At 41.5% G+C, this 26,811-nt stretch overlaps 1 protein-coding gene across 2 annotated transcripts, besides 3 other annotated features; it reads left to right on the top strand.

Moving 5' to 3' along the window:
* Positions 1,564-1,933: a silencer, noted in NCBI's record as "silent region_19074". NCBI's record gives its function as "represses an Ori minimal core promoter by ATAC-STARR-seq in GM12878 lymphoblastoid cells {active_cell/tissue: GM12878}" and the evidence as "EXISTENCE:reporter gene assay evidence [ECO:0000049][PMID:35858748]".
* SARAF (store-operated calcium entry associated regulatory factor) lies at positions 1,743-21,948 on the top strand. 2 transcript variants are annotated; one of them, NM_016127.6, is made up of 6 exons: positions 1,887-2,104; positions 10,896-11,074; positions 14,892-15,309; positions 18,033-18,174; positions 18,812-18,963; positions 21,038-21,948. In NM_016127.6, the coding sequence occupies exons 1-6, from the start codon at positions 2,002-2,004 to the stop codon at positions 21,061-21,063; spliced, it is 1,020 nt and encodes a 339-aa protein (NP_057211.4). In that variant the 5' UTR covers positions 1,887-2,001; the 3' UTR covers positions 21,064-21,948.
* Positions 1,974-2,323: an enhancer, noted in NCBI's record as "active region_27208". NCBI's record gives its function as "activates an Ori minimal core promoter by ATAC-STARR-seq in GM12878 lymphoblastoid cells {active_cell/tissue: GM12878}" and the evidence as "EXISTENCE:reporter gene assay evidence [ECO:0000049][PMID:35858748]".
* Positions 8,446-8,495: an enhancer, noted in NCBI's record as "active region_27207". NCBI's record gives its function as "activates an Ori minimal core promoter by ATAC-STARR-seq in GM12878 lymphoblastoid cells {active_cell/tissue: GM12878}" and the evidence as "EXISTENCE:reporter gene assay evidence [ECO:0000049][PMID:35858748]".

Raw genomic sequence — 26,811 nt, 5'->3', positions numbered from 1 at the left:
TTTGAACTTCAGACTTTTACAGTTTATCTATTTATTTGACACGTCTACCTGGATGCCTAATAGTCACCTCAAACTTAACATGTTGAGCATAGATTCTCTATTATCTCTTATTTCAGTCCTTGGTCCCAGCATTGGTTGGTTCCATGCCGAGGCCCCACTGCTCTGCCATCTCTTATTCCACTCTTCCCCTAACTTACTTTGCTTCAGTTATGGCCTTGTTTGCCTCTTGTCCCCCAAATTTTGTTTTATTCACTGCTGTATCCCCAATACTGATAACAGTGCCTGGCAGGTACTGTTAGGTACTAATAGGTGCTCAATATAATAATCTGGTAAACATAAAGTGTTTTTTTGAGTTCTGTGAGCCATTCTAGCAAATTATGGAACTCAAGATGGGGGGTTATGAAAACCCCAATTTATTTGTTGAGAGGGAGTCTCTCTCCATGGTCCAGGTGCAGTGGGGCAGTCTTGACTCACTGCAACTTTCGCCTCCCAGGTTCAAGCGATTCTCTTGCCTCAGCCTCCCAAATAGCTGGGATTACAGGTGTGCACCACCACGCCCAGCTATTTTTCCTATTTTTAGTAGAGGTGGGGTTTTGCCATGCTGGCCAGGCTGGTCTTAAAGTCCTGACCTCAGGCGATTCACCTGCCTTGGCCTTCCAAAATGCTGGGATTACAGGCATGAGCCACCACGCCCGGCCTGGAAACCCTAATTTATAGCTGGTTGGTCAGAAGCATAGGTCACAACCTGAGACTTGTGATTGATGTCTGAAGTTGGGGCCATCTTGTGGGACTGAACTCTTTATAGGATCTGACCAAATAACTCTTCCTCGAAACACAAAGTTAGGGCTTTTGCATCCACTGTTCCCCAGATGGGAAGATGAGTCCCCTGATCTTTGTACGGCTAGTTCTTTCTCATCATTCAGGTCCCAAGCTTCAAAAACCACTTCCTCAGCAAGGCCCTCCCTGAAGTTGTGTCCCCAGGCTCCATTATATCACCCTGTTTTTCATCAATGTTATTACCTATCATTACCTATTATTTTTGTTGTTTAATTGGTATGTCGTTTGTCCTATTCTATTTCAATGAGTACAGGGATCTTGTCTGTACCATCCATGCCTAAAACAGTGCCTGGTGCGTATTAGGTATTCAACATATATTCATTGAATGAATGAATGAATGAATGAATGAATGAATGAATGAAAGAAACCCAAGCCTGCTAGACCTCAAAAGCCCAGAGAACTGTTTTCTCTGGCTGGTTCTTCATTCAGACGATATTTTCTCCTCTTGACATTTTATAGTCTTCCGGCCTCCATGCGCAAGGAACCATGTAAAGGTTCTGAGCCTTGAAACCAGACAATGTATTTCCCTGTTACTTTTCGCTTGAATCTTCTCTGTATTTAGCAACCAGTCATAGAACACTAACCATGTACCAAGCGCTATGCTAAGTGCTGAACACATAGAGCTGAATAAAGCACAGAACTACCCTTGGTACAATTATTGAGGTTTTAATAATACATAATTTGACTACATTTCTTAGATTTCGCGTCGTGACGTTTTCAGCCTCTCAAACTGCATCGCCTACGCACAGAAGCTTCCCGAATCTCAGACGAGACACAACAAAGCTGCGCGCTGCCCTCGCCCCGCCCGCGGGCGCGGCGGCGACAGGCCCTCGGCCCCGCCCACACCGCGGCGCCACGCCTCCAACCCGCCTCCAGCCGTGCCTCCCCAGGCCCTTGGCCCCGCCCACACCGCCTCGCCCCGCCCCAAGCCGCGCTGTGCTCCAGGGGCGGGGGCCCACGGCGGCCACTCACTGAGCCCCACGGGCCGCAGCGGCAGTGACGTAGGGTTGGCGCACGGATCCGTTGCGGCTGCAGCTCTGCAGTCGGGCCGTTCCTTCGCCGCCGCCAGGGGTAGCGGTGTAGCTGCGCAGCGTCGCGCGCGCTACCGCACCCAGGTTCGGCCCGTAGGCGTCTGGCAGCCCGGCGCCATCTTCATCGAGCGCCATGGCCGCAGCCTGCGGGCCGGGAGCGGCCGGGTACTGCTTGCTCCTCGGCTTGCATTTGTTTCTGCTGACCGCGGGCCCTGCCCTGGGCTGGAACGACCCTGGTGAGTGCTGCCAGGGCCCTCAGGCGCTTCGTTCGCCCTTTTCCGCCGCCGTCAGCCGGTGCAGGCTCCCCTGCGTTTCCGTGCGCCGTCTTCCCGGAGCCTGGGTGCCCGGATTCCCCATGTCTGACCTCTTTGCTGTTCGTGCTCTCCCTGGTTCCACTGCTCTTCCCAGGCGTCTTGGGAGGCGGGTAGGGACTGCTCGAGTGGGCGGGGCGGGACGGCTGGAGATCCTTAAGGTCCCCTTTCTCCCTGCCCCGGACTCCCGGAATTTGCCCATTGTCGTCTTTCTCATCTCTGAGTATAACTGGAGAGCTGGACACTCACCTGCGCATCTGCTTTGTTGTTATGGCTGTGTGATGTCATCGTGGCCTGCTGTTGTCATGGCTGCCTGTTGCTATCGCCGGCCGTTGCCTGCCACTGGCAGTCTCTGAGTCACCCTTAGCGGACAGGGCTGCAGACCTCGCAGGTCTGTTAGCAGAATCGCAGATTGCACTCTTTTTTTTTTTTTTGAGTCGGAGTCTCACATTGTCGCCCCGGCCGCACTGCAATGACGTGATCTCGGCTCACTGCAACCTCCGCCTCCTGGGTTCAAGAGATTCTCCTGCCTCGGCCTCACCGGTAGCTGAGATTACGGGTGCCCACCACCATGCCTGGCTATTTTTTTGTATTTTTAGTAGAGACGGGGTTTTACTATGTTGGCCAGGCTGGTCTCGACCTCCTGACCTCGTGATCCACCCGCCTTCATCCTCCCAAAGTGCTGGGATTACAGGCGTGAGCCACCGCGTCTTTATGAGAACCGCTGCCTCTTATCTGACGATTGCAGTGATGTACATCGCGCGGCACCAGCTCTTCCCATTGGCTTTCACCGTAGAGAAGAATTTAAAAAATAATTTTCTCGGTTTTTTTTAGTGATGGTACATGATAAGTGGGTTTTAGGAAAGAGGTTCTTTTATGTCAGTACAGTATTAAAATTGTCTAAAGAATTTTCATGGGATCAGTAATATTCCGTGCAATTAATACGTATATGTCTATATACTTAGATACAGATTTTGACTTTTTCCATGTAATAAATGACGCATGCTGTTACTTTGGAATTCTGTAAAAAAAAAAAAAAATGAAAACAACATCATTTTTGCTTTGCGAAGTAAAGATGGCATGGAAAGCATATTGCCTTTGTGATTTGGTGATTGGAAATGCCTGCATTGTCGAATTTAAGCAACAGGTTTATTTCTATAATAGCCTATTCTTACATGCTGAAATGAGAGAGAAGGTGCTATTTGCAAGCACATCACGTTGAGTAGTCATTTGATGTGGACATTTTATTACCAAAAATAAAAAGCCAAGTTGTATTTAAATGTCTGTACGTTTTTCTTTTGTATTTCTAGAAAGCTGTGTATGAGTGGGAGACTTGATCAGAATTACAAGTGAAAACCTAGAATGAAACTTTAATTTGTTGAACTTTGAATCAGTTCGTAAATAAATTTAATAAAGGAAGTTTACAGTTGAAGAGCCAGAAGAACTATAAAAACTATGAAAGAAGAACCAAATTTAAATTAAAGATGAACCACTTCCTGGTTTATCTACGCTGTAAAACTATTGTTCTGGAACACAAAGCACCACAATATTTTGCAGAGTAAACTCAATTGTTTTATGTAAATTCTACTTCAAAGTTTACTTTGAGGAACTTTTTTGTTTTGTTTTGTTTTTTTGAGACAGTTTCACTCTTGTCGCCCAGGCTAGAGTGCAATGGCGCGATCTTGGCTCACCGCAACCTCTGCCTCCTGGGTTCAAGCGATTTTCCTGCCTCAGCCTCCCGAGTAGCTGGGATTACAGGCATGTGCCACCATGCCCGGCAAATTTTGTATTTTTAGTAGAGACAGGGTTTCTCCATGTTGGTCAGGCTGGTCTTGAACTCCCAACCTCAGGTGATCCGCCCGCCTTGGCCTCCCAAAGTGCTGGGATTACAGGCGTGAGCCACCGCACCCGGCACTTTGAGGAACTTTTTAAATGAAGATACTTTATTGACATACTATTTATTAAGTCCTTTACTAAAGCATTAATCGGCTCCCTAATTTATCTTTTGTTTGACTTGGATGCCATTACTTTAGCTCACATTGAGCAGTAATTTGTCTGGAAAAAAAAATTAGCACCATTCTAAAGAGATTACCAATGAATTTTCAAAATTCCTTATTGAATGTAATCTTATATTAAGTTACTCTTCCGGGTGTTGGGAATATAGCAGTGAACAAAACAGTGTCTTGCCTCCAAGGACTTTACCTCTATTGGGGAGAAATAGACAATAAACAGATAAACATGTAAATAACATGCTATATTGTGAAAATTGGTATGCACCGTGTATGATAAACAGCGTAAGGAGGACATGGTGTGCGGGCAGAAGTGGAGACTTAAAAAACGTACATTGGTCAGGGAAGTCACTGTTAGGGTGACATTTGACTGGAAACCTGAAGTGGGGAGGAGGAGTAAATGACCTGAAATTACTTATATCTTTAAAGGCTCATTTGGGCTGCTCTGTGGAAAACAGACCGAAGAGGGTAGGAGGGAAGCAGGGAAACCAGTGAATTAATATATATTGCTATCTATTTTAATATTGTACAGTAAGTTCTTAGAGTGGTGACCGCTTGGCCCAGGGCAGGAGCAGTAGAGAGCTGGTTAGAGTAGCTGGATTCTCTTGTCACCTGTTTGGAAGGTGGAGCTAACATGATCTTCTGAAGGATCAGATGTAGGAGTGAGAGGAGAGAAGATGAGAAGTCCAAGGTTTTTGGCTTGAGCAACTAGAAGCATGGAGTTAACCATTTCCTGAGATGTGGAAGAATGTGGGATGATCAGGTTTAGGGGAGTTTGGTTTTGTTTATCTTGTTTGAGACCTGCCGTGATTTTGATTTATGAGTCTGGAGTTCAGGGAGCTCCTGTGTCCCTTGACTGATCTAACTAGTGGGGCGTGGGTATTAGAATTTTGTTCTTGGACCTTAAGAATCTCTAGGGAAGAAAGATGCTATAGGATTATGGTAATGCTATTCCATCTTAAAACTTTCAGTAATATTTATCATACCTGATCACCTGTTATGCTTCAAGTACTCAGCCAGATAATAAATTATATCTAAGCTTCACAACAAATTTCAAGGTTGATAATATTTTAATTTTGTAGGTGAGGAAACTTCTACACAGGTAAATTAAATGCCTTGGCCAAAGTCACAGCCAGTTAGTGACACCAACTTAGTTCAGTGTTCTTTGCATTATTGCAACTCTGTTACAATAAATTCAATTTATTATTTCTGTTATTTAGTTGATTAATACAGTCTGATTTTTCTAAACCATTGAACATTTTCATTGTCTTATTTTTTATGTATGAGGAGGTAGTAGTTTGTGTTTAATGTAGCATGGTTTATTTGAATATAGTTCTTGGAAATTTTAGATCTGTAGCCCATGTGGAATTAAATTTTTATATAGCTTTAGGTGGATTTTCTTGTGGCTGCATAGTCAATTATGCCAGTGCTATTTATTAAAGAAGACATCTTTTATCCACTAAATTAAAAAGACCACTTCATCTTACTGAATTCCCAAATGTATCTTGATTTATTTCTGATCTTTCTTTTGTTTCACAATTTCCTTGTCTCTGTTCCAATTCCCTACTATTTTGATTATAATCTTTTTTTTTTTTTTTTTTTTTGAGATGGAGTTTCACTCTTGTCGCCCAGGCTGGAGTGCAGTGGTAGCAATATCAGCTCACTGCAACCTCCACCTCCTGGATTCAAGTGATTCTCCTGCCTCAGCCTCCCAAGTAGCTGGGACTACGGGCGTATGCCACCACGTCCAGCTAATTTTTGTATTATTAGTAGAGATGGGGTTTCACCATGTTGTCCAGGCTGATCTCGAACTCCTGACCTTAGGTGATCTGCCCTCCTTGGCCTCCCAAAGTGCTGGGGTTACAGACGTGAGCCACCGTGCCTGGCTGATGATAATAATTTTATAGTAACCTTTACTATCTGGTAACCTATGTGTTCTTTTTCAAAAAAAAATTGTCCACAGGACCTTTAACATAATTTCTTTCCCCAAAAAACCCTATTGGGTTCCTGGTTGGAAGTATATTTAGGTCTCTCTCTCTATATATATTTTTTATATAGATAGGGTATTGACCTTAAGTTTATTAGATTGATTAGATTCATATTAAATACTTGTGGGAAATACATCATAGGAGATGTTGTAACATCAGTTTGTTCCACCATTAGCAAAGCGATGGTTGGCAAACCCAGCCAGACTTTTTCCTTTAGAGTTTTTGAATATATTTCTCCATTTTCTTTTTCTATCCTGTTGAGATACCTGAAGCTTTTCTAAGTCTTATCTTTTCTATATGGCTTGTTTTCTCCCTATTCTTCTGGCAATTTGTAGAATCTTTTTTTGTCTTCAGTGTTCTAAAATTTACTTTTCGTGTGCCTTTGTGTGGTCTGTTTCTCAGGCCTGGGTATTTGTTGGGCCCTTTCAGTATGACAACTCAAGTCCTTCAGTGTGGGAACTTTTCTTGAATTACAGCCTGGAGTTTGTCTAATCAGATTCCCTTGTTCATTCTTTCAGAAGCCCTTGTTGGATTTTTGGACTTTCTGAACTGGTCCTGAACTGGTAATTTTCTTTCTTTCTTTTTTTTTTTTTTCCTCCTACTGTCTTTTTTCTTTCTTTCTTTTTTTTTTTTTTGAGACGGAGTCTAGCTCTGTCCCCCAGGCTGGAGTGCAGTGGCACCATCTCGGCTCGCTGCAACCTCTGCTTCCCGGGTTCAAGCGATTCTCCTGTCTCATCTTCCTGAGTAGCTGGGATTACAGGTGCCCGCCACCATGCCTGGCTAATTTTTGTATTTTTAGTAGAGACGGGGTTTCACCATATTTGCCAGACTGGTCTCGAACTCCTGACCTTGTGATCTGCCTGCCTCGGCCACCCAAAGTGCTGGGATTACACACGTGAGCCACTGTGCCCAGCCTTTCTCTCCTACTTTCTATCTTTTTGCTCTACTTTCTTTTTTCTTTTTCCTTTTTTTTTCAGATGGAGCCTTGCTCTATCGCCAGGCTGGAGTGCAGTGGCACAATCTTGGCTCACTGCAACCTCTGCTTCCTGGGTTTAAGCAATTCTCCTGCCTCAGCCCCCCGAGTAGCTGGGACTACAGGCACGCGCCACCATCCCCAGCTAATTTTTGTATTTTTAGTAGAGCCGGGGTTTCACCGTGTTCGCCAGGATGGTCTTGATCTCTTGACCTCGTGATCCACCTGCCTCGGCCTCCCAAAGTGCTAGGATTACAGGCATGAGCCACCACGCCCGGCCTCTTTTTGCTCTACTTTCTAGAAGATTTTCTTTTAACAGTTCTGTCGTATGTATGTATTTATTTATTTATGTTTTGTGACAGGGTCTCACTCTATCACCCAGGCTGGAGTGCATGGCTCACTGCAGCCTCGACCTCCCCAGGCTCAGGTGATTCTCCCACCTCAGCCTTCTAAGTAGCTGGGACTGCAGGTGTGTGCCACCATACCTGGCTAATGTTATAATTTTTTTTGTAGAGACAGGGTTTTGCCATGTTGCTTAGGCTGGTCTTAAACTCTTGGGCTCAAGTGATCTGCTTGCCTTGGCCTCCCAAAGTGCTGGGATTACAGGCATGAGCCACTGCACCTGGCAGTTCTGTTGTTTTTAATCTTGGCTGTCCTGTTTTTAATTTCCAAAAGCTCTTGTTTTTTCTCTGAGTATCCCTTTTAAAAATGATTGTTTTATTAACGCAGTCTTTTTCTCTTATCTCTCTGAGGATATTACAGTGTTTTTAAAAAAGTTTTCTTCTTGTGCGTCATCTCTTTTTTCCTCCTGCTTCCTTTTGTTGTTGTTTTGTCCTGGTTGCTGTATTTCATGTTAGGGGCTGTTTTGTCTGTTTAATGTTACTGTAACACAATACCACAGACTGGGAAATTTATTAAAAAACTGAATTCATTTCTCACAGTTCTGGAGGCTGAGAAGTTCAATATTAAGGTGCTAGCATCTGGTGAGGGCCTTCTTGCTGTGTCATCCCATGGTGGAAGGCAGAAGGGAGAGAGTGAGAGAGGGGAAAGGGGCCTAACTCATCCTTTTATCAGGAGTCCACTCCTGCGATAACTAACCCAGTCCTGCAAGAACAGCATTAATCTATTCATGAGGGCAGAGCCCTCTTAAAGATTCCATCTTTCAACACTGTTGCATTGGGGATTAAGTTTCCAACATGTGAACTTTGGGGGACACATTCAAACCATAGCAGGGACTTTCCTCATATTTTTAGTAATCCTTGGCTCCCTGCTCATGGTTAATTCTGGGGAACCAAAAAGCTCATTGGAAGCTATCAGTGTGCAGTTGCACTTTTGATTTTGAACTTCACAACAGGGTGACCTAGGTTGCTCTTTTTTGGAGGAAGTTCCTGATGTCAGTGTATTTAGGTACTTCTTCTTGGTTAGATTACCAAGGGAATAGTCATCCAGTCTCCCACAGAGGACAAGGGGATGGCTGTTAGCATTTTGTGCACCATGTGGGGAAGGAGAACTGTGCTTTCAGCAGTCAGAGTGCACACAGTCACTTGGGTTCCCTGTTTGGTTGTTTTTGTCCCCATGCCCTTTACTATGCCAGATGGTCCCCAATGCAAATCCCTTCAGTTTTATCCTCTCCAGAGAATACATCTCCAGACAGTTTCCTTAGTGGGGAAGAGGGAGTTAGAACAGTGTGGAGTTGGGGAGAGGATCTGGGAATATGGCTTCCTCTCAAGTAGCTTTCACCCTGTAGTGTGTATTCCAGGCATCTCCCATTCCAGAGCTGCCATTTCCCGTTTTTTGTTTTTTTTTTTTTGTTTTTTTTTAGGGATTCTGTTATGTACATCAGGTTGATTCTCAGTTTCCCCCTTTGCTGTTCTGGCATTTGTCTTTCACTTAGGTCTAGTCATCTACCACTAGTCCATTTACTTTCTCCTTCCAAAATTCTGCTGTCATCTCCTCTTTCGTTTTACCTGACCACAGTCATTCACATCATCAAAACAATGTATTTATTATAGTTTTAGTAGAATTTTGGGAGGCTGCAAATTCTGCTAATCTGACAGGTTGAATATAGGGAATTGGGTACTCACAAAATGGTAGAAAGCGATGCCTATTACATCTGCCACATTGAAAAATAGATTGTTCATGTCAAGCTTCATGACAGCCAGGAAGCTGATTAGAGGATACTATCAGTTTGAAAACTCATGGTCTCCATGCCTGTGTTTACTAGCTGAAGGACAGAGCACTGTATAAGTCTAGGGTCTGCTTTCCAGATTTTGCTCGAGTCCCTCTGGTTGGCAGAACTGAAATTGCTTTTGGCAACTATAGCTGCAAGAGGTTTTGGGATTCCTTTTGCTTTGCAGGAAGGCATACCTGTTTGAGGGTGAAGTGGATGTTGACTGAGCCAATCCACAGCATCTTCCATCAATAATCCACAACATGATAAATAGGAAGACTTTGTCCTTATTTTCCAATAATGCATAGAAATTCATTTTTTTTTTTTTTTTGAGATGGAGTTTCATTCTTGTTGCCTAGGCTGGAGTGCAATGGTGTGATCTTGGCTCACTGCAACCTCCTCCTCCCAGGTTCAAGCGATTCTCCTGCCTCACCCTCCCAAGTAGCTGGGATTACAGGCATGTGCCACCACTCCCGGCTAATTTTGTATATTTAGTAGAGATGGGGTTTCGCCGTGTTGGCTAGGCTGGTCTCGAACTCCTGAGCTCAGGTGATCCACGTGCCTCGGCCTCCCAAAGTGCTGGGATTACAGGTGTGAGCCACCACACCCAACCTAAAAATTTCATTTTTGCACATGAATGCCAGACATAATTTTATTGTTTTGACTCCTCCTTTCAAAGTCTCTTGTCAGTATGTTTTAAATTTTTTAGTTTGTGAAATAGTTTAAATAGTTTTGATTTTTAAAATTATGAAATACCTAAAGTATTTAAACATACAGAAGTGTACAATGAACCTACACATAGTCATCACCCAGTTTTATTGAATCTTTATATTTTGCCATATTTGCTACAAATCCCCCACTCCCAGTAATAAAACATTAGGAATAGAGCTAAAATCTCTTTTCTTTCTCTCTCCCTAGACTAGATACTTATTTGAATTTGGTGTTAAATCCTTCCCATACATGTTTTCATGTTGTTATTATATACATATATAGACATTAACAGTATGTAGTACTGTTTTGCCTTTTTTAAAGGTTTATGTAAAGCTGTCATACAAAACATTCTGCAACTTGTATTTTGTTTAAAATGTTTTTGCCATCTATCTAGTTTGATACATGAATTCTAGTTCACTCATTTTAACTGCTATGTAATATTCCACTGTAATAGGTCAGAATGTGTTAATTTCTTCACCTGTTGATGGACATTTAAAGCATTAAATGTGCTTCAGGAACATGCTTATATTCTTGCCATTTTAATTAACCACTATTATTATTACACAGTAGTACAATGTTTCAGGTTAATGAACTTTTTGTTCTTTTGATTTAGCAAAAATGATGTACAACTTGTGCTGTAGAAGCATCTGGCCTGAAATGCAGGGAGATCTTAAAAGTGTGACCTGAATTTTGTTCAGAAGGCCTGAATGTTGTTGGGATAGTTTTGAGAAATAGATTCATCCTCTCTTAGCCATCCTCAGAAGGCAAGAAAGGCATTTCCTATGACGAGAGTTTCGTTAGGATGAACCTTTCTTTCTCTGACACGATACTTACTTTGTGTTCCTCTGTTTTCTTGCTGTTTCAGACAGAATGTTGCTGCGGGATGTAAAAGCTCTTACCCTCCACTATGACCGCTATACCACCTCCCGCAGGCTGGATCCCATCCCACAGTTGAAATGTGTTGGAGGCACAGCTGGTTGTGATTCTTATACCCCAAAAGTCATACAGTGTCAGAACAAAGGCTGGGATGGGTATGATGTACAGGTAATATCCACTACAGTAATGGCAGTCTAAATGGGGTTTTTATTCAGTAAATTGTTTATTGGGACATTATTCAGTCTTTTGAGGGTGCACCTACGGAAATCTCAGATCAGCCTAAAATATGTAAGTAAATCAATCACTCTTCCTGTGGAAGAAATGGCCTCCAAAAGAAATGAACTGATTTTAAAGCCTGAAAATACTCATTTTAGTTTTTGTATCGTGACCTCCTTCTAAGATATTTGTAAATTTTCACAACTTTTTATATACTTGAGGGTGAGGGATAGGGGATATCTTATGGTTGTCATTTTCCTGTCGTTCCTCAAAGAATACCAACCTACCCTTAAGACAAAGTTAAGATAATTAGGAATTATAGATCGTAAATAGTAGGGGTTCATATATCTCTATTGTGCTTCTAGCACTTGATTTTAAAATTGTCTTAGAACTGAGGGTGGTTACTTTTGAAAGGAAGCATTTCGGCAGGTTTCATTGATTGCCTTTGGGACGCTGGTGTTTTGTATACGAGCAGAGCATCTCCTTGAAGTTCCAAAACTGAATATGCTTTAGAGATAGATTTTATTAAATGAATTCAGTTTAAATCACTAGTTACATATTTCTACTTTGTATTCTGACTGCTTTCAAAATTGATTTAAGACGACTGGTCACAAGGCAAGAAACTTATGTTGACGATTTCCCCTCTCCATCAGAATGATATTCTTGTTTGATACAACCTTTATGCGTGGTCTTTGCAATTCAGAGAGGAAGTTGATGTGTACTGGGTGATACTTACTTCACAATATTTTCCCCCAGTACTGCTAAGTTGAATCATAGAATTCTCTGGGTTATAGCAGAAGTCTCACTCCACTTTACTTATGACTTTTAGAGTCTTGATGGGAAAAAAAGGCAGTAATGGTGATGTCATTCATTAAGCATGTATTAATTGCAATATACAAAAATGAATAAGGTAGAATGAAGAAACTGTCTTACTAGTAGAAGAGGTAAGACAGGCACTCAGATTACATGTAGGTCCCAACACAACATTATAAAGTCACGTCTGGTTGGAGCCATTGGGACTTAAAGGATGAGACATTTGTGCTGTGTTAGGAAGGAATGATAACATTTTTAGAGAGGAAAGGCTAGAGAAGGGAATAGCATGAGCAAAGGAGTGTTGAGCATATCATACATTGGCTTATGTTTAGTAGCAGGAGAGAGGCCATTTAGTAGCAGGACAGAAACTCCTTCTATTCCAAGAGTTGAAATTTAAATACAGTACTTAGAAGCTACTTGTAAGTACGCATGATTAAGGAAGTGGTAGTTAACATGAAATACCAATACAAGTTTAGCTTGTTTTATTTACCTAAGTCAACAAACCTATGAATCTTCCTCCAAATAAAATTATTTTAAAAACAGTGTAGTAACAGCAACAAAAGAAAAACTGCATCTTATCCAAATGAAAAACTTTTGACTATCAAAGGACATCATCAAGAAAGTGAAAAGACAACCTACAGAATGGGAGGAAGCTTAGCAAATCATAATTGGTGAGGGACTTGTATTTAGAATATAAAATAACTCTTACAACTCAGTAAGAAAACAACCAAGGTAAAAATGGCAGAGCATCTGAATAGACATTTCTACAAGGAAGATATATAAGTAATAAATAAGCACATGAAAAGTGTTCCTTATTATTAGCCATCAGAGAAATGCAAATCAAAGCCACAGTAAGATACCACTTCACACTCAGTAGGAAGGCTATAATAAAAAAGATAACAAGGCTGGTGAGGATGTCGAGAAATTGGAACCCTCATACACTGCTGTTGGGAATGTGAAATGGTCCAGCTGCTTTGGAAAATTGGCAGTTCCTCAAAAGTTTAAATGTAGAGTTACCATGTATGCCTCAGTCATTCCACTCCAAGGTATATACACCCAAGAGAATTGAAAACACATGTCCACACAAAAACTTGCATACAAATATACATAGCAGCATTATTCATAATAGCCAAAAAGTAGAAACAATTCAAATGTCCATTACTAATGAACGATAAATAAAAGTGGTATATCCATGCAAAGAAATATTATTTAGCCATAAAAAAGTGAAATAGTAATACATGCTACAACGTGGATGAATCTTGAAAATGTTATGCTAAGTGAAAGAAGCCAGTCACAAAAGACCACATATTGTATTATTACATTCCTGTGAACTGTCCATTTAGGGAAATCCATATAGACAGAAAGTTGGTTGGGAGGTGTGCGGCGGGAGAATGGAGAGTGACTGCTAATGGGCACAATATTTCTTTGGGGTGACGAAAATATTCTAAAATTGATTGTGGTGACAGTAGCACAACTGTGAATATACTAAAACCATTGAAATGGGTGAATTGTATGGTATGTGTGAATTATATTTCAATAAGGCTATTATAAATGAAGTAAAATAGTGTGAACTTTGAAAGAGGAAAATAATTTGTACAAAAATTTGCAGAAGGGCAACAGAACCAATTAAATCTACTTTAGCTTGTGTCTTTTTTCATTTTTTTTGAGACGGAGTCTCCCTCTGTCACCCAGTCTGGAGTACAGTGCAGTGACATGATCTTGGCTCACTGCAACCTCTGCCTCTGGGTTCAAGTCGTTCTCCTGCCTCAGCCTCTATTTTTGAAGTAGCTGGGATTACAGGCGCCTGCCACCATGCCCACCTCATTTTTGTATTTTTCGTAGAGATGGGGTTTTGCCATTTTGGCCAGGCTGTTCTTGAACTCCTGACCTCAGGTGATCCGCCCACCTTGGCCTCCCAAAGTGCTGGGATTACAAGCATGAACCACCGCGCCTGGCCTTTAGCTTGTATCTTAAGAGTTAAAGAAGCATATTGCTTTTTCCACCACAAAATATAGAATCTAGACCAAACTTGGGCATATATTTTTTTATAAGGTGGACATTTTTGGGGCTAGCCTGGGTTCTTTTTGCATTTTTCTAAATATCTTTAAAAAATACAAGAGAATTACATAGAATTGGACCTTGGAAAGTTAGTCCATGGTTTTATAAAATTTGTGTAGAAAAGTTTTTTTCTCTGAAGGTTATGTAATATCTCTGTTGCTTTGTGTAGCTACCAGACATTCATATATGATGCTGTTTTGAGCCTTAACATCTTTTAAGAAATCTGGATTTTTAAAGAAAGCATCTTGAACAACAGTGGCAAAAAGTTGACATTTTGGCAGTTTGCTTAAATTTTATAAATTGTAGAATACTTAATATGTTCAGATGGATATATAACATGTATATGTAAAGAATAGTAATAAAACGAATACTCATATACGCAATATCCAGCATAAGAAGTAGAACACAGATACCACCATTATCTTTGAAGCCCCTCATTTTCCTTCCCTTAGACATGAATACTTACCATTGTGAATTTTGCGGATCATTCCCTTGCTTCATTTTGCAATTTTATGACGGATATATAGCCCAAGTAACATTTTTTTTTTTCTTGAGACGGAGTCTTGCTCTGTTGCTCAGGCTAGAGTGCAATCACGATCTCAGCTCACTGCAACCTCCACCTCCCAGGTTCAAGTGATTCTCCTGCCTCAGCCTCCTTAGTAGCTGGGATTATAGGCGCCTGCCACTGCGCCTGGCTAATTTTTGTATTTTTAATAAAGATGGGGTTTCACCATCTTGGCCAGGCGGGTCTTGAACTCCTGACCGCGTGATCCACCCGCCTTGGCCTCCGAAAGTGCTGAGATTACAGGTGTGAGCCACTGCGCCCGGCCCCCAAGTAACATATATTAAATGAAAAAAATGTTTGTTTCTAATAGTCTGTTTCTATTTTTCTTCACAGTGGGAATGTAAGACGGACTTAGATATTGCATACAAATTTGGAAAAACTGTGGTGAGCTGTGAAGGCTATGAGTCCTCTGAAGACCAGTATGTACTAAGAGGTTCTTGTGGCTTGGAGTATAATTTAGATTATACAGAACTTGGCCTGCAGAAACTGAAGGAGTCTGGAAAGCAGCACGGCTTTGCCTCTTTCTCTGATTATTATTATAAGTGGTCCTCGGCGGATTCCTGTAACATGAGTGGATTGATTACCATTGTGGTACTCCTTGGGATCGCGTTTGTAGTCTATAAGCTGTTCCTGAGTGACGGGCAGTATTCTCCTCCACCGTACTCTGAGTATCCTCCATTTTCCCACCGTTACCAGAGATTCACCAACTCAGCAGGACCTCCTCCCCCAGGCTTTAAGTCTGAGTTCACAGGTATGTTTCCCTCGCAGTGGCCATAAATAGAGCGGGTGTGAGGTTAGTGCATCCTGTGCTTGGTTCTGAAATAGAAAATCGTTGCATTGGGAAACCAAAGGAGGTTTGTCTTCTCATTTTGTTTTTTACTTTCAACTTCTTTTACCTCTTCTGTTTGGCTCTCTCCCAAGGTATATTGTGGTTGCTATGTTAATGCCTGATTGGCCGGGCGCGGTGGCTCACGCCTGTAATCCCAGCACTTTGGGAGGCCGGGGTGGGCAGATCACTTGAGGTTGGGAGTTTGAGACCAGCCTGGCCAAGATGGTAAAACGCCGTTCTTACTAAAAATACAAAAATTAGCCGGGTGTTGTGGCGGGCACCTGTGATTCCAGCTGCTTGGGAGACTGAGGCATGAGAATCACTTGAACCCGGGAGGTGGAGGTTGCGGTGAGCCGAGATTGCGCCACTGCACTCCAGCCTGAGTGACAGAGCGAGACCCTGTCTCCAAAAAAAAAAAAAAAAAAAAAATGCCTGATTAAATTATAAATACTCTTAATCAGAGAAACTTGATCAACTTTGCTAATAATCATTTGCCCTGACTCCTGTCTCACACTATACATAAAAATTAATTCTTTAAGTATTATAAATCTCAACGTAAAAGGTAAAACAATTAAGTTTCCAGAATAAAACATAGGAGAATATTTGTTATGACCTTAGGATAGGGAAAGATTTCTTAAACAGAACATAAAAAGTACTAGCCATAAAAGAAAACATGGGTAAATTAGACTTTATTTAAATTAAGAACATCTAATCATCAAAAGGCACTATTAGGAGAGTGAAAAGGCAAGCTACAGACTGGGAAAAATTTACGAAACGTATTTCCGGCATATATATATATAAAATGTATTTCCGGTAGAACATAAAATGAACTCCTGTAAATCTGAGCAACAGGCAGACAGGCCCTCCAAAGAGGACTTGAATGCCCATTTTATAATAAGAGAAGACATCTACTTCACCAGTCCCCAGCCTTTTTGGCACCAGGGACCAGCTTTGTGGAAGACAATTTTTCCACGGACTAGGGGGGTTGGGGTGGGGTGGGGTGGGGAGAGAAGGTTTTGGGATGATTAAAGCATATTACATTTATTGTGTACTTTATTTATGTTGTTATTACATTGTAATATATAATGAAATAATTAACAACTCATGTAATGTAGAATCAGTGGGAGCCCTGAGCTTGTTTTCCTGCAACTGGATGGTCCCATCTGGGGGTGATGGGACACAGTGACAGATCATCAGGCATTAGATTCTCATAAGGAGCATGCAACCTAGATCCCTCGCATGTGCAGTTCACAGTAGGGTTTGTGCTCCTATGAGAATCTAATGCTGCTGCTGATCTGACAGGAGGCTGAGCTCAGGTAGTAATGCAAGTGATGGGGGAGTGGCTTTAAATAGAGATGAAGCTTCAGTCGCTTGCTTGCTGTTCACCTCCTGCTGTGTGGCTCAGTTCCTAACAGGCCGTGGAGCAGTACTGGGGTCCCAACCCATGATTTACATGTTCAACAGAAATAAGAAAAGGTGCTTAGCATCATTAGTCTCCTGAGAAATGCAGATGAAAACCACAGGGAGATTATTTTTAGCCACCAGATAACCACCATAATGGCTAACATTAAAAAGACAGAGTACCAAGTATGGGCAAGAATGTAGAGTGACTGGAACTTTCATACTTTGCCGGTAGGAGTTTAAATGGTAAAACAACCCAAACATGCATACCCAATTCTATTCCTATGTACATACCTGGGAGAAGTGAATGCATGGTGCACCAAGAAAGATGCACAGGAATGTTCATAGCAGTTTTATTTATAACTGCCAAAAAATGGAGGTGGAATATCCATAAACATTAGAATGGGACTGTGTAAATTTTTCACACGGTGGAAGACACATGAGTTAAGAAAAAAACTGATAATGCAATGGTAGGATTGACTCCCATAGACATAATGATGTGCCGGACACAGAATACATACTTTGTGATCCTGTTTAGAAAAAGTTCATGAATGGACAGAATTAAAATATGGTAAGAGAAGTTAAAGTAGTGCTGATCTCTGACATAGATGGGAATCTATTAGGAGTTGTCATGAGGGAGCCTTCTGGGGTGCCAGAAATGGTTTATTGGTGTGGGTGGTGGTTACATGGATAGGTACATATGTACAAATTTGTTGTGCCACACGTGTAAGATTAGCACACTTTCTTATATATATGTATACATCAGTTAAAACTTCCTCTGAGCAGAAGATACTTTTTAGGTCCCTTTGAGATCTGACTTCCCAACTGACACAAATAAATATCTGGCTGCCTCCCCTTGGATTCCTCGGTTAGAGACTGAGGCACAGCTCTCATCTGGAGCTCTTAGAGACTCCACTTAGAGTTTGTACTGCAGAGAGAAAGTAACCCTGAAAAGTGGGGTGATTTTCTAGTAGCTGATTGAGCAGGGCAGATGTCATTTTATAGCAAGACCCTCCCCAGTCCCAAAATCTATCCCTCTCCTCCCATATCTATGGGAAATGCTCTCCCTCATTATAAACCAGTATTTTACAAATACCTTTTTGAATACAACTTGTTAATAACTTGATGCCTGAGTATTATTAATAATTCAGTACAGATGAAATAATTGAAATGTTACATTATCTTTGCTTTTGTAGACTGTCATGTTTAAGTGAGGATACATAATAAATCATTTTTATTTTAAGGACCACAGAATACTGGCCATGGTGCAACTTCTGGTTTTGGCAGTGCTTTTACAGGACAACAAGGATATGAAAATTCAGGACCAGGGTTCTGGACAGGCTTGGGAACTGGTGGAATACTAGGATATTTGTTTGGCAGCAATAGGTAAGCTTTTTGCATTGATCTCACTTGCTCTTTAATTCAAGAGGCTTGTTTTGCTTACAATTTAACTGCATTTAGTTTTGCTAAGGAAAATAAATTGTGGTGACGTTAGCCTATTAAATAAGATTCTCTGGGAAGGGGGAAGGTACACTATATTTGTTTTGATCAGTATTGTGTATGTTATTTTCTTTCACTGTGTTTCTTCCTGTGTCACCTTCATATATATTATGAGATAAGAAAAAGACTGTTTAGTTGACATCTGAGAAAATAAGAAGGCAGGAAAGAAGACAGCATTTGGGGAACAGTCTGGTTTGGTAGGAGAATGATAAAAATAAGGCTGGAAAGAGCTTGGGGCCAGATTTTGGAATATGAAGTATTAATGGTAGTTTAAGTTTAGATTTTATTCGAGTGCAAATTCAGAAAGAGCATTGACTCCCTGTCACTTTTCCCCCATAGCAGTGACCATAATAATGGCAGAAATATGAAACGGTTTTTATTTCATGTTAACTCTGATATACCAGAACATTCAGGAAAAAATACTTGATAAAGATATTTTTTTCTGACAGTTTAGGAACAGGAAGGTATTTAAAAATTATAGCCACAAGAAAAAAATGCCTAACCTACTTTTATCCCTTTAAAGAGCGGCAACACCCTTCTCAGACTCGTGGTACTACCCGTCCTATCCTCCCTCCTACCCTGGCACGTGGAATAGGGCTTACTCACCCCTTCATGGAGGCTCGGGCAGCTATTCGGTATGTTCAAACTCAGACACGAAAACCAGAACTGCATCAGGTAAGAGCAAAAAATACAAGTTCCTTTTACCTAGGAGTAAAGTACAGAAATAGTTTGGGAACTTTAGAAGATGATTATCTGTTTAGCAACCATGGTTTTATTTGGTGTACCTACCAAAAATATTAATAGCACAGTTAACTGAGATCCCACTTTTAAACATTCTTTAAAAATCAAACAGGGATTTGATTTAGGCTTAGCTCTACCATAGACCAAGGTTTTAACTTGAACCTTACTGGGTGCTAGCTTCCCCATATATTTAATTCTGTGATCTCTAGAGATCCTTTAAGTTCTAAACTAGACTTTTCTAAGTAGAAGCTTAAACTTAAAATTCAATAACATTCAAAAAAGATATTGAGGTATACTTTAATTTTCAAAAATATGATTGTAATGTTTATTGGAATGCTCAGAGGATATTTTGTAAAAAGCAAAGATACAAAAAAAACAAAGGAATAACTGGATTAAGCATCAAGCCTAATTGGGAGCTGCTGGGTAAGGAGGCCATGAGAGATTGCTCTGGAGTAGCTTTGTCTTTCAGGAAAAGGAAGTTATAGAACAATGATTAATTCTTGAAATTGATAGAAAAATATATTTAAATATGTTTTAAAATGTGAGTAGAATTCTCATAATGCTGGTTTGGATATATATTGATACATTCAATTAAAAAAACTGGTACTACCTCCTAAAATTGAACCTATGCATACTTCCAAAGGACAGAGCAGTTTTGCTCTCAGATATATCGCCACAGAAATGCATACACTTGTGTGCTGGCAGATAAGCACAAGACTGTTCATAGCATCCCTATTCATAATTGCCCAAAACTGGAAACAGCCCACGTATCCATCAGCAGTAAAATGGATGAATAAATTGAGTTATGTTTGCTGTATTGCAGTGGGTTACTGTGCAACTAAGAATAAGTAGTTGTGTGCAATAACATGGATAGATCTACCAAATATAAAGAAGCCAGACACAAAATAATATATACACTATGATGATAGCAGTTACATTTTATAAAATACACATGCAAAAACAGGCAAAACTAATTTATGGTGTTAGAGTATGAGATAGTAGGTACTTCTGGGAAGAAAAAAAGGAGTTGGGAGAATATATAAAAATATGACTAGGTAAGGCCAGGCACGGTGGCTCACACCTGTAATACCAGCACTTTGGGAAGCTGAGATGGGTGGATCACCTGAGGTCAGGAGTTCGAGACTAGCCTGCCCAACATGGTGAAACCCCATGTCTGCTAAAAATACAAAAATTAGCTGGGTGTAGTGGCACATGCCTGTAATCCCAGCTATTTGGGAGGGTGAGGCAGGAGAATCGCTTGAACGCGGGAGGCAGAAGTTGCAGTGAGCCGAGATTGCACCATTGCACTCCAGCCTGGGCAACAAGAGCAAAACTCTGTCTCAAAAAAAAAAAAAAAAAATATATATATATATATATATATATATATGGCTAGGTAAGACATCATGACAGAAAAATATTCATTCTCAGTGGAAAGAAGACTTGCATAAAATCATGACTATGAACTAGAAATGTATGGGAATTATATGAAAGAAAATCATAAAAACCAAATAATGTAAACCTGAAAATAATTGAGAGACTTTCTAGATAGGAAGATTTGTCATCCTGTAGCCTGTGTGTGTGCGCACAGTGTCTTAAGTAACGTTTAAGCATCTAAAGTCCGTAACCCTCCCCACATTACGTCTCTTACCACTGGAGTTGTGAGAGGTAGCAGGGCATGGCTTATGCGCCACTGGCCTCTGTCTTTTTGGCTTAGACTTTGAGTATTGCCTGTACCATGGTGGCCCCACTATAGAATGCATTCTCTTTTTTGGGGTCCTAACTGTCATTCCCAGCAACCATGTGTGAGTGTAGTAGGCTTGATGATTGGGAAGGTTGCTGTGGGAGGCGATGCACTGTCCTGCTTAGCCCAGTTCCACCTAGTGGCACACTCTTTCCTTTCCTCCTATCTCATTCATTTGCTGACAATAAACATGTATGACTTGTAATTTTATAAGCAATTCTAATGCATTTTTAAAAACTAATGTAAATTTTACCCCTCTCATTCTAGGATATGGTGGTACCAGGAGACGATAAAGTAGAAAGTTGGAGTCAAACACTGGATGCAGAAATTTTGGATTTTTCATCACTTTCTCTTTAGAAAAAAAGTACTACCTGTTAACAATTGGGAAAAGGGGATATTCAAAAGTTCTGTGGTGTTATGTCCAGTGTAGCTTTTTGTATTCTATTATTTGAGGCTAAAAGTTGATGTGTGACAAAATACTTATGTGTTGTATGTCAGTGTAACATGCAGATGTATATTGCAGTTTTTGAAAGTGATCATTACTGTGGAATGCTAAAAATACATTAATTTCTAAAACCTGTGATGCCCTAAGAAGCATTAAGAATGAAGGTGTTGTACTAATAGAAACTAAGTACAGAAAATTTCAGTTTTAGGTGGTTGTAGCTGATGAGTTATTACCTCATAGAGACTATAATATTCTATTTGGTATTATATTATTTGATGTTTGCTGTTCTTCAAACATTTAAATCAAGCTTTGGACTAATTATGCTAATTTGTGAGTTCTGATCACTTTTGAGCTCTGAAGCTTTGAATCATTCAGTGGTGGAGATGGCCTTCTGGTAACTGAATATTACCTTCTGTAGGAAAAGGTAGAAAATAAGCATCTAGAAGGTTGTTGTGAATGACTCTGTGCTGGCAAAAATGCTTGAAACCTCTATATTTCTTTCGTTCATAAGAGGTAAAGGTCAAATTTTTCAACAAAAGTCTTTTAATAACAAAAGCATGCAGTTCTCTGTGAAATCTCAAATATTGTTGTAATAGTCTGTTTCAATCTTAAAAAGAATCAATAAAAACAAACAAGGGGTTTAGTCTCATTCTTTCTATTAGCCTAGGCGCAAATAAATGTTACTTTTTGTTTTTTTAAACCCTTTTTCCCAAAGGGGAAAGTTCATGCAGAAGTTCTGTCTCCCTAAACAGTAATTTTATGTGGTAGTCGTACCTTAGTCTTTTGGTAAATGTTTTCAAAAAGTAATTTACAAATGGTGTGGAAGCCTCTGCCAAAAAATAGCGTTTGAAAAAAATAATTAAATCTCCAAGCCTCCCAACCCATCAGAGATTGCATGGTTACACTTAGTTAAGCTTCATAACCTCAAAGCCCCAGTTTTATATCTTATGTGTTTAATGATTTTTGCCATTTAAAACTGCAGTTACTTTTCACCAACCAATAAGAACCAATTTAAAACAAACCCTTATTAAGACTATTGCATAATAAAACTATCCTCTTTTCATCAGTAAAACAGTAGAAATTTTAACTGATAGAAGAAACACAGCTTTACTTTATGTATATCCCACTAAATCCTTACCCCATTTCTCCTTAGTAGAAGGATATGGAATAAAAGAGAATGTAGTTTGTTGCTTTTTTTTTTTTTTTGAGACAGAGTCTCTCGTTCTGTCACCAGGCTGGAGTGCAGTGGCATGATCTCGGCTCACTGCAACCTCCTCCTCCTGGGTTCAAGCAATTCTCCTGCCTCAGCCTCCTGAGTAGTTGGGATTACAGGCTCCTGTCACCAAGCCCAGCTAAGTTTTTGTATTTTTAGTAGAGATGGGGTTTCACTGTGTTGGCCAGGCTGGTCTCGAACTCCTGACCTCAGGTGTTCCACCTGCCTCAGCCTCCCAAAGTGCTGGGATTACACACGTGAGCCACCGCGCCCGGCTTACTCAGATTGTTTTTGAACATAGTACTGCAGATCATTGGGATTGTAAGAAAATAATGAGTTAATGTAAAGAGAGTTGACTGTTCTTCCTGTAGGCGATAGCTTTAAAAAAAAAGAGTTGACTTGGTGGCTTTTAGATTACTCTGGGGAGCCCTAGTGGTGTTCTTATGAGGTTCTTTAGAGGGTCCCTGGAGGGAAGGGAGGAAAAGAGGCAGAGTATAGGTTTCAAGCCCCACCTGAGTGTTCCTCTTTTATCTGTTGTGTATTTGTACTTCCTTGTCATTTAAGAACTTTTTTTTTTTTTTTTTTTTTTTGGTAGAGATGGTGTTTCACTATGTTGCTCAGGCTAGTTTCGAACTCCTGGCCTCAAACAGTCCTCCCACCATGGCCTCCCCAAGTGCTGGGATTACAGGCATGAACCACTACTCCCGGCCCTTTGTTGTCTATGGAAAAGGTTCACATGTATCACTTCCCCAAATGTAAAACTTAGAATAATAAGATAGTACAGTCTAAGGCAGGAGGATTGCTTAAGTCCAGGAGTTCGAGACAAGCCTGGGCAACATAGCAAGATTTCATCTCTACAGATTATTATTTTAATTAGCTGGGCATGGTGGTATGCACCTGTAGTCCTGGCTACTCCAGAGGCTAAGGTGGGAGGATCACTTGAGCTCGGGAGATTAAGGCTGCAGTGAGCTGTGATTTTGCCATTGCATTCCAGCCTGGGCAACAGGGTGAGACCTTGTCTCTTAAAAAAATAAGGTGAGAGCATTGATTGAGAAGCAGTGGGATCCTGAAAAGTGGAATGGGGACATAAGAAAGGATCCTGATGAAGCCAGTGAAATGGAACCCCTAAATTCTGCGTAGTATTTCTTGCCGGTAGAAGCAGCCCTTCTACTTCTGTCTGAGAAGGTTAATCCTACTTTGCCTGAAGGATCTGTAATGGTCTCTTCAGAGGTGTTCGTTACCAGGCATCACTCATCTGCCTCAGGGTCTGCCCTTGCTACCTGCTTTGCTCCTAGATGTACAGCTAGACTCACGTTCCAGTAGGCACCAAAGAGTGAGGTACAAATTATGATCCATGAGGAGGTACCCTGCACACCAAAAGGACTCCATGATTTTCCCAGTCTATACAGATAGAAATCTGGGGAATATGTGTGGGAATGGATCTTAGAGTGTAGGATATGGTGGTAGGACTGTAAAGTTCAGTCAGGACAACTTTATTGATATTGGCCCACTCAGCAGAGATTCTGGATTCAATATTTGAGAGGTTAGAAAGGACTCTTAACAGTTTAGTTGGTTTGCTGAACATGGACTCGAAGATGGCCTACACTAAAGTCAAAATGCCAGAACTGCCTCAGTGTACTGTGGAGGAAGGGATTCAAAGGCTCAGGGAGATTGGAATGTTAGGGTGGATTTATCATATAAGCCCCACCCACCCACCCTGGAGGAGTCAAGAGAATACACTTTTCACCATGATGGTGAGAAATAGATTTTTGAGAAGGAGGCCCACAAATTTGGTTTCTCTTCTTTGTAGGTCAGAATGTACAGTGGGAACTGCTACCATCAAACTGGGACCCCTAGAGGCAGTGGGGTTAATTTGATCCCAGGGTAGCAGGGGCCAAATGGTGACAATCAGCAAAGATAGCGTGGCATGGTTATGCTGTAATGGGCAGCAGAGTCAAAGCAGCCATCAGAATTGTTGGACTCAGGCCAGGAACACTGGCACATGACTGTAATCCCAGAACTTTGGGAGGCAGAGGCAGGAGGATTGCTTGAGGCCAGGAGTTTGAGACCAGCCTGGGCAATATAGTGAGACTCTATCTCTACAAAAAATTTTATGAAACAAAAATTAACAAGAATTGTCTGACTCAGAGACCTATGGCATTGGCTGGTTGATCATTGTGTACCTATGGAAGAAATAGATGGCAGTCTACTAAATTCTTATTTGATTTATGTATGTGGAAGAGTTCTAGGCTGAGTAAACGGAAGTCTTTTTTTTTTTTTTTTTTTTTTTTTTGAGACCAAGTCTCACTCTGTCACCCAGGCTGGAGAGAGCAGGGGCATGATCTCGGCTCACTGCAACCTCTGCCTCCCAGGTTCAAGCAATTCTCCTGCCTCACCCTCCCGAGTAGCTGGGATTACAGGCGCCTGCCACCATGCCTGGCTAATTTTTGTATTTTTAGTAGAGACAGGGTTTCACCAAGTTGGCCAGGCTGGTCTCAAACTCCTGACCTCAGGTGATCCGCCCGCCTCGGCCTCCCAAAGTGCTGGGATTATAGGTGTGAGCCACTGTGCCCAGCCAACAGAAGTCTATCTTAAGTCACCACAAGTGAGTCATAGCCTCTGAATCATTTCCTAGACTTGAGCTGGTTTATAGCTCCAGAATCCCTTCAATGAAGGAGAGGCTGGGTTCCCCTTGAGGAAGAACCCTACCACATTGCCAGGTTTATATTGTTTATCTTTCCCCCAGTCTTCCCTCAATGGACCCGTGGCTATTTACTGGGGTAACTATGCCCTGGGGAAAGGGAAAATAATCAGATAGTTTAGGGATTACTGGACACTGAATTGATGCTAATTCCAGGAGGCTCAAAACATTACTGTGGTCCACCAGTCAGAGTAAGAGCTTATAGAGTTTTAGCTCAGATCAATTTCACAGTGAGTCCCATGGGTCCCTCGAATGATCCTGTGATTATTACACAGGAATGGAACCTGCGTTCTAGAATGCAGGATTAGAATAGACATACTCAGCAACTAGCAGAATCTCTACGTTGGGTCCCTGACCTGTGGAATGAAGGCTGTTATGGTGGCATAGGCCAAGTGAAAGTCACTAGAACTACCTCTATCTACAAAAATGATAAACCAATAGTGGCTGTGATATGGACACTTGATTAAAGGGGCTGAGAGGACTTGTGGGGAATCCCAATTGGAAGAACATCCAAGTTAGAGATGAAGGCGACTAGGGAGAGTTGGAGTGAGGAAATGGGGTGAAATGGAGGGACACAGAAAGTGCCTGAGCTCTGTGCCTCAGAATGTGATCTTATTTGGAAATAGAGTCTATGTTAGTCCATTTGTGTTGCTATAAAGGAATACCGGAGACCAAGTAATTTATAAAGAGGTTTAATTGGCTCACAGTTGTGCAGGCTGTACAGGAAGCATGGTGCCGGCATCTGCTCCTGGTGATGCCTTGGGAAGCTTCCCATCATGGTGGAAGGTGCAGGGAACAGGTGCGTCACATGGTGAGAGTGGGAGCAAGAGAGAGCGAGGGAGGGAGGTCCCAGATTGATTGACTGATTTTTTTTGAGACAGAGTCTTGCTCTGTCACCCAGGCTGGACTGCAGTGGTGTGATCTTGGCTCACTGCCTCACCTCACCTCTGCATCGTGGGTTCAAGTGATTCTCCTGCATCAGCCTCCTGAGTACCTGGGATTACAGGTGTGTGCCACCACACGTGGCTAATTTTTGTATTTTTTTTTAATAGAGGCAGGGTTTTACCATGTTGGCTGAACTCCTGGCCTCAAGTGACCCTCCTGCCTTGGCCTCCCAAAGTGCTGGGATTACAGGTGTGAGCTACCGCACCTGGCCAGGTCCCAGACTTTTAAACAACCAGATATTGTGTGAACTAACTGAGCAAGAACTCATTCATCACGAGGGGGATGGTGCTAAACCATTCATGAGGGAATCCTCCTGTATGCTCCCAACACCTCCCACCAGGCCCCACCTGCAACATTGGGAATCACATTCAATGTGGGATTTGGAGGGGACAAACATCCAAACCATAACAGGGTTACTGCAGATGAAATTACGATGAGGTTATACTGGAGTAGAGTGAACACCAATGATTCATGTCATTATAAAATGAGGAAATTTGGACACAGACACACAAACAGAAATAATCATGTAATGTCTGGAGTTCTGCCAAAAGCCAATATATGCCAAAGATTACCAGCAAACCACCAGAAGCTGAGAGTCAGGCCTGGAACAGATCCTTCCTCAGCACATACAGAGGGAGCATGGCCCTGCTACCACCTGGATATCAGACTCACAGCCTCTAGAACCGTGAGATAGTAAGTTCTGCCTTTCTGGAGGGATTACAGAGATTAATGCCACC

Source organism: Homo sapiens, chromosome 8 (assembly GCF_000001405.40).
Source record: "Homo sapiens chromosome 8, GRCh38.p14 Primary Assembly".
Taxonomy (NCBI): domain Eukaryota; kingdom Metazoa; phylum Chordata; class Mammalia; order Primates; family Hominidae; genus Homo; species Homo sapiens.
The sequence above is the reverse complement of the archived record's forward strand: the minus strand, read 5'-3'. Positions and strand labels throughout refer to the sequence as shown.

Excerpts from the sequence above, each read along its gene's own strand:
- SARAF (NM_016127.6), top strand. The coding sequence starts at position 2,002 with ATGGCCGCAGCCTGCGGGCCGGGAGCGGCCGGGTACTGCTTGCTCCTC. Across the intron at positions 2,105-10,895 it reads CCTGGGCTGGAACGACCCTG|ACAGAATGTTGCTGCGGGAT; the intron begins GTGAGTGCTGCC and ends TTGCTGTTTCAG. Across the intron at positions 18,964-21,037 it reads GAAAACCAGAACTGCATCAG|GATATGGTGGTACCAGGAGA; the intron begins GTAAGAGCAAAA and ends CTCTCATTCTAG.